This window comes from Homo sapiens, chromosome 7 (assembly GCF_000001405.40).
Source record: "Homo sapiens chromosome 7, GRCh38.p14 Primary Assembly".
Classification (NCBI taxonomy): Eukaryota; Metazoa; Chordata; class Mammalia; order Primates; family Hominidae; genus Homo; species Homo sapiens.
In genome coordinates, this window is record NC_000007.14 from 75,391,481 (window position 1) to 75,406,133 (window position 14,653).

General features: G+C 53.1%; 1 protein-coding gene and 1 pseudogene across 2 annotated transcripts, besides 2 other annotated features; one reads left to right on the plus strand and one right to left on the minus strand.

Annotated features, from left to right (window-relative positions):
* Positions 1-468: 468 nt before the first annotated feature.
* FKBP6P2 (FKBP6 pseudogene 2) lies at positions 469-3,981 on the minus strand (annotated as a pseudogene). The gene is made up of 5 exons (NR_003602.3): positions 3,745-3,981; positions 3,538-3,655; positions 2,787-2,876; positions 2,027-2,087; positions 469-975 (listed from the first exon to the last, which is right to left on the minus strand). The product of NR_003602.3 is annotated as an FKBP6 pseudogene 2 (transcript).
* Positions 3,546-4,153: an enhancer, noted in NCBI's record as "H3K27ac-H3K4me1 hESC enhancer chr7:75024300-75024907 (GRCh37/hg19 assembly coordinates)". NCBI's record gives its function as "activates a minimal SCP1, AML or CMV promoter by ChIP-STARR-seq in naive H9 embryonic stem cells {active_cell/tissue: H9 hESC(naive)}" and the evidence as "EXISTENCE:reporter gene assay evidence [ECO:0000049][PMID:30033119]".
* TRIM73 (tripartite motif containing 73) lies at positions 4,149-14,125 on the plus strand. The gene is made up of 5 exons (NM_198924.4): positions 4,149-4,330; positions 7,436-7,852; positions 12,165-12,260; positions 13,359-13,589; positions 13,702-14,125. Exons 2-5 carry the CDS (start codon positions 7,454-7,456, stop codon positions 13,726-13,728), a joined length of 753 nt encoding a protein of 250 aa, NP_944606.2. The 5' UTR covers positions 4,149-4,330; positions 7,436-7,453; the 3' UTR covers positions 13,729-14,125.
* Positions 4,154-4,760: an enhancer, noted in NCBI's record as "H3K27ac-H3K4me1 hESC enhancer chr7:75024908-75025514 (GRCh37/hg19 assembly coordinates)". NCBI's record gives its function as "activates a minimal SCP1, AML or CMV promoter by ChIP-STARR-seq in naive H9 embryonic stem cells {active_cell/tissue: H9 hESC(naive)}" and the evidence as "EXISTENCE:reporter gene assay evidence [ECO:0000049][PMID:30033119]".
* Positions 14,126-14,653: the final 528 nt, after the last annotated feature.

Below are 14,653 nucleotides of genomic sequence, written 5' to 3' on the forward strand. Positions count from 1 at the left end.
TTATTATTATTTTTTGAGACGGAGTCTCAAATCTGTTGCCCAGGCTGGAATGCAGTGGCACGATCTTGGCTCACTGCAACCTCTGCCTCCTGGGTTCAAGCGATTCTCCCTGCCTCAGCCTCCCGAGTAGCTGGGGTTACAGGAATCCACCACCACGCCTGGCTAATTTTTGTATTTTTTAGTAGAGATGGGGTTTCACCATGTTGGCCAGGTTGGTCTTGAACTCCTGACCTCAGGTGATTCGCCCGCCTTGTCCTCCCAAAGTGCTGGAATTACAGGCGTGAGCCACCACGCCAGGCCCCTCTTTAGATCTGCTTTTTTTTTTTTTTTAAACAGGATCTTGCTCTGTTGCCCAGACTGGAGTGAAGTGGCACGACTATAGCCCACTGCAGCCTTGAACTCCGGGCTCAAGTGATCCTCCCGCTTCAGCCTCTCCAGTAGCTGAAACTACAGGCACACGCCACCACGCCCAGCTAATTTTTATTTTTATTTTGTAGAGATGGGGTTTCACTATGTTGCCCCGGCTGGTCTAAAATTCCTGGCCTCAAGCGATCCTCCTGCCTCCGCCTTCCGAAGTGCTGGGATTATAGGCTTGAGTCACCACCGTGCCCAGCATACATCTGCTTTCTGAATATTTGAGAGGCGGAAGGCACAAGGCGTGACAATTGATGGGATTTGGGATGTAAAGAGCAAGAGAGGACTCAAGCACAGTCGCCTCGAGGTTTCTAGCCCCGGCTGCTGTCACCAACCACTCTCAGGAAGGTAGGCAGAAGGTTACGCAGGAGAAACCGTAGGGGTAGTTCTGAGGCCCTGGAAGGGGTAGTTCTGAGGCCCCCGGGGGTGCGGAGCTGCAGGTCCAGGGAGGAGTGGTGAGGCTGGAGGAAGGTGAGGCTGGAGGAGGAGGTTCAGGAGGCTCTGAGGTAAAGATGGAGGCTGGGGCCTTGGGAGTCGAGGAGTTTACCCAAGACGAAGCATCTGTGTGGAAGAAAAGATAAGGCTGGGCGCAGTGGCTCACGCCTGTAAACCAAGCGCTTTGGGAGGCCGAGGTGGGCGGATCATCTGTGGTCAGGAGTTCGAGACCAGCCTGGTCAATATGGTGAAACCCCTTCTCTACTAAAAATACAAATATTAGCCGGGTACAGTGCACCTGTAATCCCAGCTACTCGGGAGGCTGAGGCACAAGGATCACTTGAACCCGAGAGGCAGAGGTTACAGTGAGCCGAGATCATGCCACTGCACTCCAGCCTGGGTGACAGAGCAAGACTCCATCTCCAAAAGAAAAAGAAACTATAAACATCATTGAAAGAAACTAAAGAAGACCTAAATAAATGGAAGGAAATCATGTTCATGGATTAAAAGACTTAATATTATTAAAATTTCATTACTTCAGAAGTGATCTACAGATTCAACACAATCCCTATCAAAATCCCAGCTGTGGCTGGGTGTGGCGGCTCACTTCTGTAATCCTGGCACTTCAAGAGCCAAGGTGGGAGGATTGTTTGAGCCGAGAAATTTGAGACCAGCCTGGCAACATGATCTCTACAAAAAATATAGAAATTAGCCAGGCGTTGTGGTGCCAGCCTGTAGTCCCAGCTACCCAGGAGGCTGAGGAAGGAGGATCGCTTGAGTCCAGGAGTTTGAGGCTGCAGTGGGCTATGATCACATCACTGCTCTCCGGCCTGGGCAACAGTGCAAGGTCATGTCTCAAAAAAAAAATCCCAGCTGGCTTTTTTTTTTTTTTTGAGATGGAGTCTTGCTCTGTTGCCCATGCTGGAGTGCAGTGGCGGACGATCAGCCTCAGGGCAGGCCATCTAGAAGAATTACCAAAAACACCAACCCATTTGTCTCTCTATAAAGTGCTGACATTTGTGCTCTGCAACGTACAGCTGAGAGAGCACAAAACTTGTCTGACTCAGCACAGTCTAGGAAGTCAAGCAGCTCAATCTTGAACAGGACAGTGGTGTTTGGGGGGATCAAGGGAGGGGAGCCCAGCGTTCCATAGGCGTAGTTCGGTTTGAACAGAAACCTGGCCAGCTCTCCTCTCTGCATGCTCAGAAGGCCCAGCTCCATGCCCCACAATGTAATATCTGTAAGAAGGGACAAAGAAGGTGGGTGAAGCTTGCTCAGTATCCTGCTTAATGCTATCAGTTTCTTCCCCCTCTAAGTCAGCAGTACTCTGGCCTCCATGTCTCCCTCACACAGTTCCCTCTTCCTGCAATGTCTTCCTCCTGAGCCTGTGCCCAGCTTCTAGTGATAGAAATTTTATTCAAACTTCCGGGCTCAGTTCAAATGCCCCCTCTTCCAGGAAGCCTTCCCTGAACTTCCCAGCTAGAATTAATCATGCCTTCATTAAGCACACCCACAACACTGCTTTCACCTCCCAGGCACTCATCCGATTCTACCAAGTGAGCTGAGTGCAGGTCAGTCTCCTCTACTACATTGTGAGGTCCTTAAGGGTGGAGATGTTCTAATCTTCTGAGTACAACCTCTCTTTTCACCATGTATTGTGGGAAGTAAGCATTCGTCGATTTTTACTTAATAAATGAACAAAGAAACATTCCCAGTGGTGAGTTAAGTCAGAGTGCAAAGATTATACCTTGCCCATTAAGCCATCTCCCAAATGCCTAGGTCTCAAGGGGAGAGAACATGGCTGTTTTACCAAAACCCAGCCTCAGCAAAGTCAATTCAAAGAACCTGCGCTCTGAGCAGTCTTCCCAGCCTGAGGCATGGTGCCTCATCTCGCTCCTAAACAATCCCTTCTTCTCCAGCTCCTACTCTGAATTTACCCTCTCCAAGTTTCATTAGCCGAGGAGTTTTCCTAAAGTAATTAGAATCGAAGGGTCTGTCCAAGTGTTCCAGGTATCCATAGTATTTCACTAGAATAGAGGAAAGAATGTAAGGAAAATGGACCCAAAACACCCACGCCACCATAATATCGAGTCTCTCATGATCACACAGAAACAATGCGATCAGATGAGCTTAAGCTGCCCGACACCACGAGGTACAGGAATAAATCTCTCTGCATTTTAGGAGCCTACCCTTCGGCTCAGAGGTTCAAGAGCTTCATGGAAGCATCACGCAAAGGGGACATAGGGTTCCTTAGCTTTCCTCTTAAAAAAACTAATTCATGGCAGAAGCAGCGGCTCACGCTTGTAATCCCAGCTACTGGGGAGGCTGAGGTGGGAGGATCACTTGGGACCAGGAGTCTGAGACCAGCCTGGGCAACATAGAAAGTGCCCCATCTCTACAAAAATATTAAAAATTAGCCGGGCATGGTGGATTGCGCCTGTAAATCTCTTATTTGGGAGGCTGAGGCTGGAGAATCACTTGAGCCCAGGAAGCAGAGGCTGCAGTGAGCTATGTTCGCACCACTGCACTCCAGCCTGGGGAACTGAGCGAGACCCCGTTTCAAAAACAAAAATCCACTTCAAACAAAGCATTTCCAACCCCATTAAATGCTTTTTGAAAATGAGGCCTCTCTCTTCCCAACAGAGTGCGATGACATGGATCCTGCGGACAAACCGCCCCAGGGCGTACCTAGCACCGAAGCATCAGGCGCCACTAGGTCTCCAGCTCCTTCTCGGATGACGTCCTTCAGCACGCCCCGGTCCCCCGAGATGTCCAGCATCCTCTGACTTAACCGCTCGTACAGGGACTGATGGAGAATGAAAGCCAGGCCTCAGAGCCGCAGACCCACCCGGCCACCCCTCAGCGTCTACGCCCCCGAAACGTCTGGGCCCTCACCTGGCCGGGGGCGTCGTCCCCTTCCAGGACTCCCTGGTTTAACGCGCTTCCCCCCATGTCCTAGCTGCCCTCCCTGTGGCGTGAGCCTTCGGCCTGGTGCGCCCCGCTGCCCTTCCTGGCTGTGACTCTGGTGGGGTTCCGAAGGCCCCTTTATGCCCGGCAGACCCCTACCGACGGCGGCATTACATTCTGGGGCCACGAGGAGGCACTCATCGTTTCGTTCCAACCGCCGCCAACGGCCCTGGCCCTCGCGAGCTCTGGAACTACAGAGGTCGCACGGTGAGTTGCCAGGTGTGGCCCGTAATCGGAGCGCACAAAACATGATGGGACACGTAACGGGACCACACAGGGCACATTGGGCACTTGCAGGGGCGCGAGGTGGCGGCACGTAATGGGAGCGCGCTGAGCATGATGGGGCATGTGCGGGAGCGCCAGGCGGGGCATGTAACCAGAGCGTGCGGGGCATGATGGGGCACGGACATGGGGGGTTAGGTGGGGCACGTAATTGGAGCTCGCGGGGCAGGATGGGGCATCTAACTGGAGCGACAGAGAGCACGATGGGGCACTTACAGGGGCCGGAGGCTGGGTACGTAATGAGAGCGAGCGGGAAATGATGGGGCACCTAACGAGCACGCAGAGCATGATGGGGCACGGGTGCGAGGTGGGGCGCACAGTGGGAGCGCGTGGGGCGTGATGGGACACATGGCGAGGCCGTCAGGGCACAGGGGAAGCACTTTTGGAACACGTGAGTGACAGGGCTGCCGCCCTTGAAGGAGCCCTCGGAGTGGCTGCGTGGTGGGGCACGTGGGGCAGGTTCAGGAAAAAGGATGCAGCATGTGATTGCAGGGCAACCTGGTGAGGACACGAGAGCCACCTGCCACCAGCAGGGTTCAGGGCTCCCAGCTGTGGGTTACTTCCACCTTCTTTCACTTTCCCTCTTCCATTGTATTCTAGAGAATTTAGGCCCAGACAAGACACTGATTGATTGATTGATTGATTGATTGACAGAGGCTCGCTCTGAGCCCAGGCTGGAGTTCAGTGATGGATCTCAGCTCACTGCAGCCGCCACCTCCTGGGCTCAAGAGATCCTCCTGCCTCGGCCTCCCAAGTAGCTGGGATTACAGACGTGCACCACCAGGCCCAGCTAATTTATTTTTTAGTTTTTAATTTGCTGGTAAGATGGTTTGTAGCTTTGTTGCCTAGGCTGGTCTTGAACTCCTGGCTTCAAGCGATCCTCCAGTCTTGACCTCCCAAAGTGCTGGGATTATAGGCGTAGGCTACAGCCAACTTTCAATACTGCCCCATTGGGGGTTACGTTTCCAACACATGAAATTAGGAGGATACATTCAAACCACAGCAGTATATTATGACCATAATATTCATTAACTGTGTAACAGGCTGGGCGCGGTGGCTCACACCTGTAATCCCAGCACTTTGGGAGACCAGAGTGGGTAGATCACTCGAGGTCAGGAGTTTGAGACCAGCCTGGCCCACATGATGAAACCGCCTCTCTACTAAAAATACAAAAAATTAGCCGGTGTGGTGGCAGGCGCCTGTAACCTCAGCTACTTGGGAGGCTGAGGCAGGAGAATCACTTGAATCCGGGAGGTGGAGGTGGCAGTGAGCCTGATTGCACCACTGCACTCCAGCCTGGGCAACAAGAGCAAAACTCTGTCTCAATAAACAAACAAACAAACAAAACCTGTATAACAGAGTGTCATTGAATTTCTAAACGTTGAAAGACTTCACATTAAAAAAAAACTCACAATTTAATATTATTGAGTGAAAGAAACCAGACACAAAAGGGTACATTCTATATGATGCTGTTTATGTGACATTCAAAAACAGGCCACATGACAACATGGTAATAAGGACAGTGGCTGTCCTTGTTAGGAGTTATGACTGGAAGGAGGCAGGAGGGAGCTTTCTGGAAACACTGTACATCTTGCTCTTGAGAGTGCACGTATATACATCAAGTGTTTATCAAGCTGTGTGGTTAAGATTTGCACACTTGTATATGTTATACCTCGATTTAAAAAATCTAAATAAGTAAATAAAGATACCTTCAAATCTTTAAAAAAAAAAAAAAAAAGAGGCCAGGTTCGGCGGCTCACACCTGTAATCCCAGCACTTTGGGAGGCTGAGGTAGGAGGATTGCTTGAGGCCAGGAGTTCAAAACCAGCCCAGGCAACAAAGTGAGACCCCTGTCTCTACTAAAGTAAATAAAACAATAAAATAAAAAAAAAAATTCGAGAGATCGAACCATCATCTGCCAGTTTGTATTAGAAAAAAAGAGAGAGAGAAGGAAGACTGCGTGCAATAAGGCTCATGCCTGTAATCCCAGCACTTTGGGAGGCCAAGGTGGGAGGATTGCTTGAGCCCAGAAGTTGAAGACCAGCCTGGGCAACAAAGCAAGACCCGGTATCTACAAAAAAAATTTTAAAAATTAGCTTGGCATGGTGGCATGTGCCTGTAGTCCCAGCTACTCAGGCAGCTAAGGTAGGAGGATGGCTTGAGCCTAGGAGTTGGAGGCTGCAGTGAGCTGTGACCACGCCACTGCACTCCAGCCTGGGCAACAGAGCAAGACACTGTCTTCCCCTGCCCCCCAGCCCCCCACCCCCCCCAAAAAAGGATATAAGAGCAAGAGATTGAGATTCAGAAAGAACTGTTTCCCAGCACCTATCTGCTCCTGTTGGGGTCATGAGGTGTGGACGGTGTACCCAGTCCCTCTGTTTCTGCCCCTCCTCCACAGTGGCCAAGGCCAGCACTTGAATGTTATCAGAGCAGGCCCAACAAAGGCTGCCTCCCCAGTCCTGTGATGTAACCCAGTTTCCACCTGATTCTGGTGACCTTGGGGACACAGGGGTGTTGCTGGGGAAGGGGAGGAGAGAAGGGGCAGAGACCAGGCAGTGGTGCAGGCGTCCAGCTGCACTTCCCACTTCTGACTCTGTGCCTGCTGTTCCCTGCTGGGAAGAAGAAAAGCCAGTGATGCTGGCTTGAGGCCATAGTGGGAGGCCCAGTGGATCCTGAGAAGCTAGGTATTCCAATGTCGGGCTCTCGCTGGGGGCTTCTGGTGCTTCTTCTGTCTCACTGACAAGCTTTCATAGGGGAGCAGGTGGGAGATCAGGGTAGAGGCCTTGTAGGTTCCAGGCTCTCTAGAATTACCTGGGAGTGTCACCTATAAGTGTAGAGTTCTGGGTCTCACTGGAGACCCCCTGAAGCAGATCCTTTGAAGGTGGGCCTCTAGAATCTCTATTACACCTATGCTTTCAACAGTTTCCTGAAAGTTTGGGAACTGATCTAGAAGGTGGGGAGCTTGCCTAGGTTTTGCTGTTCAGTTCTAGGTCCGGATGCATGCTGGGGCTGGACCTTGCATTATTAGTGTCACTGCAAATGACCCTGCAGATGGCCCCTTTCATGCTTGTCTCCAAATTTGAGTAAAAAATGTAGACACACACACACACACACACACACACACACACGTATCTTCAAGGGACCAGTTTTTTCACTGCAGTCTTTTGTTTTACAGCTGTGGAAACTGAGGCCCAAGGTCATGTGGGTTAGGACTGGGATCCAGGACTCAAAGTGTTTCTTATAAAATTCTGGTGCTCCTTAGGGTTGAGGGTGGTGGGTGAGTGCTGGACAGGGGGAGGGGAGTGGACAGGACTGAGGTCGGATGCCTGTGTTTCAGCCCGGGCAGTGAGTGTGGATGGCTTGGCAGGTGAGCCTGCTGGAGCTGGAGGACCGGCTTCAGTGTCCCATCTGCCTGGAGGTCTTCAAGGAGTCCCTAATGCTACAGTGCGGCCACTCCTACTGCAAGGGCTGCCTGGTTTCCCTGTCCTACCACCTGGACACCAAGGTGCGCTGCCCCATGTGCTGGCAGGTGGTGGACGGCAGCAGCTCCTTGCCCAACGTCTCCCTGGCCTGGGTGATCGAAGCCCTGAGGCTCCCTGGGGACCCGGAGCCCAAGGTCTGCGTGCACCACCGGAACCCGCTCAGCCTTTTCTGCGAGAAGGACCAGGAGCTCATCTGTGGCCTCTGCGGTCTGCTGGGCTCCCACCAACACCACCCGGTCACGCCCGTCTCCACCGTCTGCAGCCGCATGAAGGTGGGGAGTGAGGGTGCAGGCGGGGCGGCGGGGCCCGCGGGGACTGGATCCTGTGCTCTCTGGCGCTATCAACTGGCACCAAAACGGATCCAGCTATCCTCGATTTCCCTGCAGCCCTGCCCTGGCGCATTCATTCCTTAGTGTTTGAGCGGCAGCTAAACCCAGGTGCTGGGGATTGAAGCTACACGCACAGGATGGGAGCTCCCTGGTGTCACGTGCTCACCCCTTCCTGTTTTTTGTTTGCAGTTCTGGTTTGTTTCTTTTTCTTTTTTTCTTTCTCTCTCTCCCGCCCCCTTCCCTTCCTCTCTCTCTCTCTCCCCCTCCCTCGCCCGCCCCCCCTTTCTTTTTCTTCTTTCTTTTTGGAGACAGCGTCTCACTCTGTTGCCCAGGCTGGAGTGCAGTGGTGTGATCATGGCTCACTGCAGCCTCCAACTCCTAGGCTCAAGCAATCCACCCACCTCAGCCTCCCGAGCAGCTGGGACTACAGGTGCACACCACCATGCCCAGCTCATTTTTTATATTTTGTAGAAATGGGGTCTGGTTATGTTGCCCAGGCTGGTGTTGAATTCCTTGGCCTCCAACGATCTTCCTGCCTGGGCCTCCCAAAGTGCTGGAATTATAGGCATGCACCACTGCCCTACGCCCCTTGTTTGTGTCTGGACACTCCCCTGTTTGCACTCTCTGGTGCATGAGAGTGGGGACTTCATTTTGTCCCCTGGTGTATTTCAGTGCCTGGAGCCATGCCTGGCACATTGTAAATGTCCAAAATGCTGAATCAGTGAATTCCTGCCTTTATAGGCCATCACCAAACCTAGCAGATCATTCTTTAAGATGAGTAATAATAATACCTGACTGGGTGTTATATATATAAAACACCTGTTATAAAACACGTGACTGGGTGGCTTATGCCTATAATAACAGCACTTTGGGAGGCCGAGGTGGGTGGATCACTTGAGTCCAGGAGTTTGAGACCAGCCTGGGCAACATAGTGAGACCCTGCCTCTACAAAAGTTTCAAAATTAGCCTGGTTGGCCAGGCGCAGTGGCCACTCCTGTAATCCCAGCATAAAGCTGGAGGGAGCATGGGTGGGGGCGAGATAGGGCCAGCGAGGTAAGCTGCGGCTGGGGCATGGAGAGGCCAGTGTGACCCGGGAATGGATTTGGAGTTTATTCACAGGATGAGGGAGAAAGGCGGGGGCTGGAGTGTTTTAAGCCAGTGATGACATGCTCAGATCTCTCTGGCAGAGGGGAGCTTTGAGGGTGAGGCAAAAGGACAGTGAGAGATGAAGGTGCCAGGACCTAAGTTGGTGGGAACTGGGACAAAGGCCTGGGGCAGACCAAAGACAAATTTCAAACAGAAAAAAACCCTGACAACTGTGTGTGGCAAGGAGGGTGAGGGATGGGGAGGTTGACTCCAGCTCTGTAATTCCCCCTTGCACAGAGGAAGTGATCGCAGGGGAGGATCCGGCGTGGGCAGGTGGAGCGGGAGGTGCCTGGGGATGTGCAGTCGGGTTGAGGGGTGTGCAGACCAGGACAGCGGTGGGGCTCAGGGCAAGAGGTGTGGAGGGTCCTTCCTCTTGGTGGTCACTGAAGTCCCCTTTGGTGGAGAAGACCAACCCAGGAGAGTCTACATAGTGATAAGGGAAGACACTGATGATGACCCCAAGGGGTACCAGGCTTAAAATCTGGATTGAGAGAGAGAGAGCCCTGAAAAAGGAATAGAAAGAATCCTCAGAGCAGGAACACCGGCTGAGTGTGGCCTCCCGGAAATCAGAGAGACAGACTGAAGGAGGAGATCACGTGTGTGAAATGTCTCTGAGGACTGAAAAGTGTTAAATGTAGCAGTAAGAACTGATTATCTTGGCAAGAGCAGGTTTAGGGGAGTATGGAAGGTGGAAGCCAACTGCAGGTGAGGAAGCCGAGTTTATGTTTTATTAGTTGATGGGAAGGAGGGAGGGAACAGGCTGGGAGATTGTCTGTCCTTTGTAGTTAGGATCCAGCAGCTCAGCTTGGGTCCCTGTTTTAGATTTGGGCTTAATTTTTTTTTTTTTTGGTAGAGACAGGGTCTCACTATTTTGTCCAGGCTGGACTCAAACTCCTGGCCTCAAGTGATCCTCCCGTCTCGGCCTCCCAAAGTGCTGGGATTCCAGGCATGAGCCACTGTTCCCGGCCAGATTTGGGTTTTGATGATCCCGAGGCTCTTCTCTGTTGCAACACAGAATACAACTAAATTGCACTCCTTTATTGCCCTCTTTAAGGTGTTCCCGTTGCCTCCTGTTTATTGAGATCTTGAGATGCTCGATTGATGGGTGCATTGATTTGCATAACTTAGTTCTTCTCACGGGGAAGGAATGAGTCCCGTCTGTCTGCCTGGGGAGGGTGACATTGGAATGCTGTTCTTAGGCCTCTGTGAGATGTTCTGATGCCTCATTCTCCAGAGCAAGGACTCTGTCCGTTTATGCCAGCAAGTGCTTGATTCTTTACCCAACTCCCTTCCTGAAAGCCCCTTACAGCTCTCTGGTGCTTGGGCACGATCCAAGCCAAAAATTCTGTACATTGCATGGGTATAAACCGACGGGGGCTCTGGTCAAGTCATGGAGTAGATGGTGGTCCAGGAGTCCTGGTTGGCACCCCCAAGGCTAGGTCAGATTTGGGGCCCGGGCAGTCCAGGAGAAGTGCATTTATGTCAGCTTGGGGAGGTCGCAAATCCGTGCTGTGTCCAAGCCCACCAGGAATGGATTCAGGTGTTTATAGGTGTGGGGATTCACCAGGTTAAACCCAGGCCCGTGTGAGCACCACTGGCCCTAGAATTAGCCTCACCTGGCGCCGGCCTTTTTGTGATGGCTCCTGATTAAATACCCACTAATTCTGGATCTGCTGGTGACCACAGAGTTCACCTGATGGGTCCCCTACAGGCAGCATTCAATCCAGGAAGTGCCAGCATCACATGGTGACTTCTGGTAGCTGTAACATTTAGTGACTGTCTCCATGTCATGCACAGGGGTGACATCGAGACCCTCTTATGCCTGGGAAGTTCCTGCTGTCAATGCAGAATATTCTCTTTTTTTTTTTTTTTTTGAGACGGAGTCTCGCTCTGTCGCCCAGGCTGGAGTGCAGTGGGCGATCTCGGCTCACTGCAAGCTCCGCCTCCCAGGTTCACGCCATTCTCCTGCCTCAGCCTCCCGAGTAGCTGGGACTACAGGCGCCCGCTACCACGCCCGGCTAATTTTTTGTATTTTTAGTAGAGACAGGGTTTCACTGTGTTAGCCAGGATGGTTTCGATCTCCTGACCTCGTGATCCGCCCGCCTCAGCCTCCCAGAGTGTTGGGATTACAGGCGTGAGCCACCGCGCCCGGCCCAGAATATTCTTTGAAGAAAAAAAAAACATTAGAGATGGGATTTCACTGTGTTGCCCAGTCTGGTCTCAAATTCCTAGCCTCAAGTGATCCTCCCATCTTGGCCTCCTAAAGTGCTGGGATTACAGGCATGAGCCACTGTGCCCAGCCTAGAATATTCTTTTTTTTTTTTCTTGAGATGGAGTCTTGCTCTGTTGCCCAGGCTGGAGTGCTGTGGCGCAATCTCGGCTCACTGCAACCTCCTCCTCCCAAGTTCATGCCATTCTCCTGACTCAGCCTCCGGAGTAGCTGGGACTACAGGTGCCCGCCACCATGCCCGGCTAATTTTTTTTGTATTTTTAGTAGAGACAGGGTTTCACTGTGTTAGCCAGGATGGTCTCGATCTCCTGACCTCGTGATCAGCCAGCCTCGGCCTCCCAAAGTGCTGGGATTACAGGCGTGAGCCACCGCGCCCGGCCCTTAGAATATTCTTGAATTATCTTATTTTTTATTTTTATTTTTTGAGACAGAGTCTCACTGTGACACCCAGGCTGGAGTGCAATGGCATGATCTCAGCTCACTGCAACATCAATCTCCCAGGTTCAAGCGATTCTCGTGCCTCAGCCTCCCAAGTAGCTGGGACTACAGGTGTGTGCCACCACACCTGGCTAATTTTTGTATTTTCAATAGAAATGGGGTTTCACCATGTTGGCCAGGCTAGTCTCAAACTCCTGACCTCAAGTGAAGTCCCACCTCAGTCTCCCAAAGTGCTGGAATTACAGGCGTGAGCTACTGCGCCCAGACTATTCTTGAACAATTTAACCTGTTTTGGACTCAAGGGTACCTGGGTGGCTCTGGTTCCCGCCCTGGTTTCCCTGGGAGTGCTTGTGGCCATTGGGATACTCCCAAGAAGGTGATCCAAGGAGCTGAGAAGGGGAGGGATCAGCTGCTCATGGGGCCATGGCCTGTTGCCTCCAGGAGGAGCTCGCAGCCCTCTTCTCTGAGCTGAAGCAGGAGCAGAAGAAGGTGGATGAGCTCATCGCCAAACTGGTGAAAAACCGGACCCGAATCGTCGTGAGTGCCCCTTCCCTCTGCCCCTGCCTGGGACCGGCCACCTTCACTTTCCTGTAGAGCTCAGTTCTCATTGGTCCTTTACAGAAAACCATGCCTTCCATATAAAGCCAGAACTCAAAGCATTCCGGGGCGGGGTGGGGAAAGCGCAAATCCTCTCAGGGGAATTCAACCCAGTTGTCGTTAGGACTGGCTCCAAGTTGGCTTTTGCCCTCTGTGTCCTTGAGACTGAGATAACCCAGGACTTGAGTCTCGGGGGTAAACAGCTGAAAGCATGGGCGTGACTCCTCCGCCCCTGTGCCACCTGTGTCTGCTTGACCTTGCCAGCCTGTCATGGTGCCCTCCCAGTACCTGGGTGCGCAGGCGTGGAGAGGCTGGCAGCCCTGGGCCCTGGCTGATCTCCTGAACTGAGAGGCACATGGGGCTGGGACGCATAGTGCCCCGGCCCTGGAGGTGGCTGTGAAACAGAAACAGGAGCCGAGCAAGATCCAGAAGCACTTGGCCTCCCTCATTTACCCTCCTCACCCTTGCGCGGCAGGCGGTATCAGCCCTGCCTGGTGGAGGCGGAGCTCAGGGTTCTGCAGGGAGTTCTGGCTCCCTCACAGCAAAGCCCGCTCGCCCAGGGCCTTCCTGCTTTCCTTCAGTTGTGGAACTCTGGGATATGCACATTTAATAGCTGAAATAGGCAAAGTGGGGTGTGGTGGCGTGCATCTGTAATCCCAGCAACTCGGGAGGCTGAGGCGGGAGGATTGCTTGAGGCTGGGAGGTCAAGGCTACAGTGAGCTATGATCGTGCCACTGCGCTCCAGCCTGGGCAACAGAGTGAGACCCTGTCTGTTAAAAAAAAAATTAAAAATTAAAACAGGCCAAAGCAGAGCCTCTCCATTTGAAATGGGAGCTGGGGCCACCCTCCCCACGGCCACCGCCAGGGCTCCCCATGCATGGGGTGAACTCCCTGCCCGGCGCCAGGCCATGCAGCCTCCCCTGAGACTCAGGTCCCAGGACCAACCCGGTCAGGAAGGCCCTGGGGACACCGAGGCCAGCCAGACAGAGCCTGGCAGCTCGGCTGTGACTCTGCAGTGAGCAGCCCTCCCTGTCCCAGAATGAGTCGGATGTCTTCAGCTGGGTGATCCGCCGCGAGTTCCAGGAGCTGCGCCACCCGGTGGACGAGGAGAAGGCCCGCTGCCTGGAGGGGATAGGGGGTCACACCCGTGGCCTGGTGGCCTCCCTGGACATGCAGCTGGAGCAGGCCCAGGGAACCCGGGAGCGGCTGGCCCAAGCCGAGTGTGTGCTGGAACAGTTCGGCAATGAGGACCACCATGAGTTCATCTGGGTGAGTGGACAGGGAGGCGTCCCATCCCCATACCCGCCAGGGCCTTCCCCTTCCCAACAGTGCCCTGGCTTCCCACCTTCTAGCCTTAACCTCCCTCTCTCTTGCCTTCCAGAAGTTCCACTCCATGGCCTCCAGGTAATAACCTTGGAGAGAGCTCAGCCAGGGTCTGGTGGCTGCGGGCACGGGCATCTCAGCTCCACTGGTTCCTCCATTCAGCTTAACCAGCGCCTCCCAAGCAGCTGCCTATAGCTGGCTCTATAACTGAGCCTGGGGAAGATAGAGGAAAGTCACGTCCCTGCCTTCAAGGGTCTCGCAGACAGGTGGGGAGGCAGATGGTGAACTGTGGGTACCTAGAACAGCAGAAGTTCACTCAAGCTACAGAAATACTAGAGGAGGGTAGCTCATGCCTGCAATCCCAGTACTTTGGGAGGCCAAGGCAGGAGTATTGCTGGAGGCCGGGAGTTCGAGACCAGCCTGGCCAATGTAGTAACACCCCCGTCTCTACAAAAAATACAAAAATAAAAAAATTAGTTGGGCATGGTGGCATGCGCCTATAGTCCCTGCTACTCATAAGGCTGAGATGGGAGGATTGCTTGAGCCCAAAGTTTGATGCTGCAGTGAGTCATGATCATGCTACTGCATGATCCAGCCTGGGTGACAGAGCGAGACCCTGTCTCAGAAAACAAAACACTAGAGGAGGAGCAGGTGTCTGGGAGGCCTGGCAGAGGGGCACACGCCTGATGGCTGAGAAGGGCCCAGGACCCGAGTTTGCCAGGCAAGCCGAGGGAACAGTCCTGTAAAAGGGGGAGTGGCGTGCGGACTCTGGTTATGAGAAGTTCAGGGTGGCTGGATGTAAGGCAGGATATCAGGAGGAGTGGGAGCTGGGAGAGGTGGGAAATGGCCAGAAGCAACATCCAGGAGCACCAGGCATCCCTTGCTTACCGTCCTCACCCTTGCGCAGCAGGCAGTATCAGCCCTGCCTGAAACTTGCTCTGCAGATTGTGGGAAGAGAGCGGATCCATGTTCTAGACCCAACAAACGAACACGTGCAGTTCCCAAGCCTT

Excerpts from the sequence above, each read along its gene's own strand:
- TRIM73 (NM_198924.4), top strand. The coding sequence starts at position 7,454 with ATGGCTTGGCAGGTGAGCCTGCTGGAGCTGGAGGACCGGCTTCAGTGT. Across the intron at positions 7,853-12,164 it reads CCGTCTGCAGCCGCATGAAG|GAGGAGCTCGCAGCCCTCTT; the intron begins GTGGGGAGTGAG and ends TGTTGCCTCCAG. Across the intron at positions 12,261-13,358 it reads AAAACCGGACCCGAATCGTC|AATGAGTCGGATGTCTTCAG; the intron begins GTGAGTGCCCCT and ends TCCCTGTCCCAG.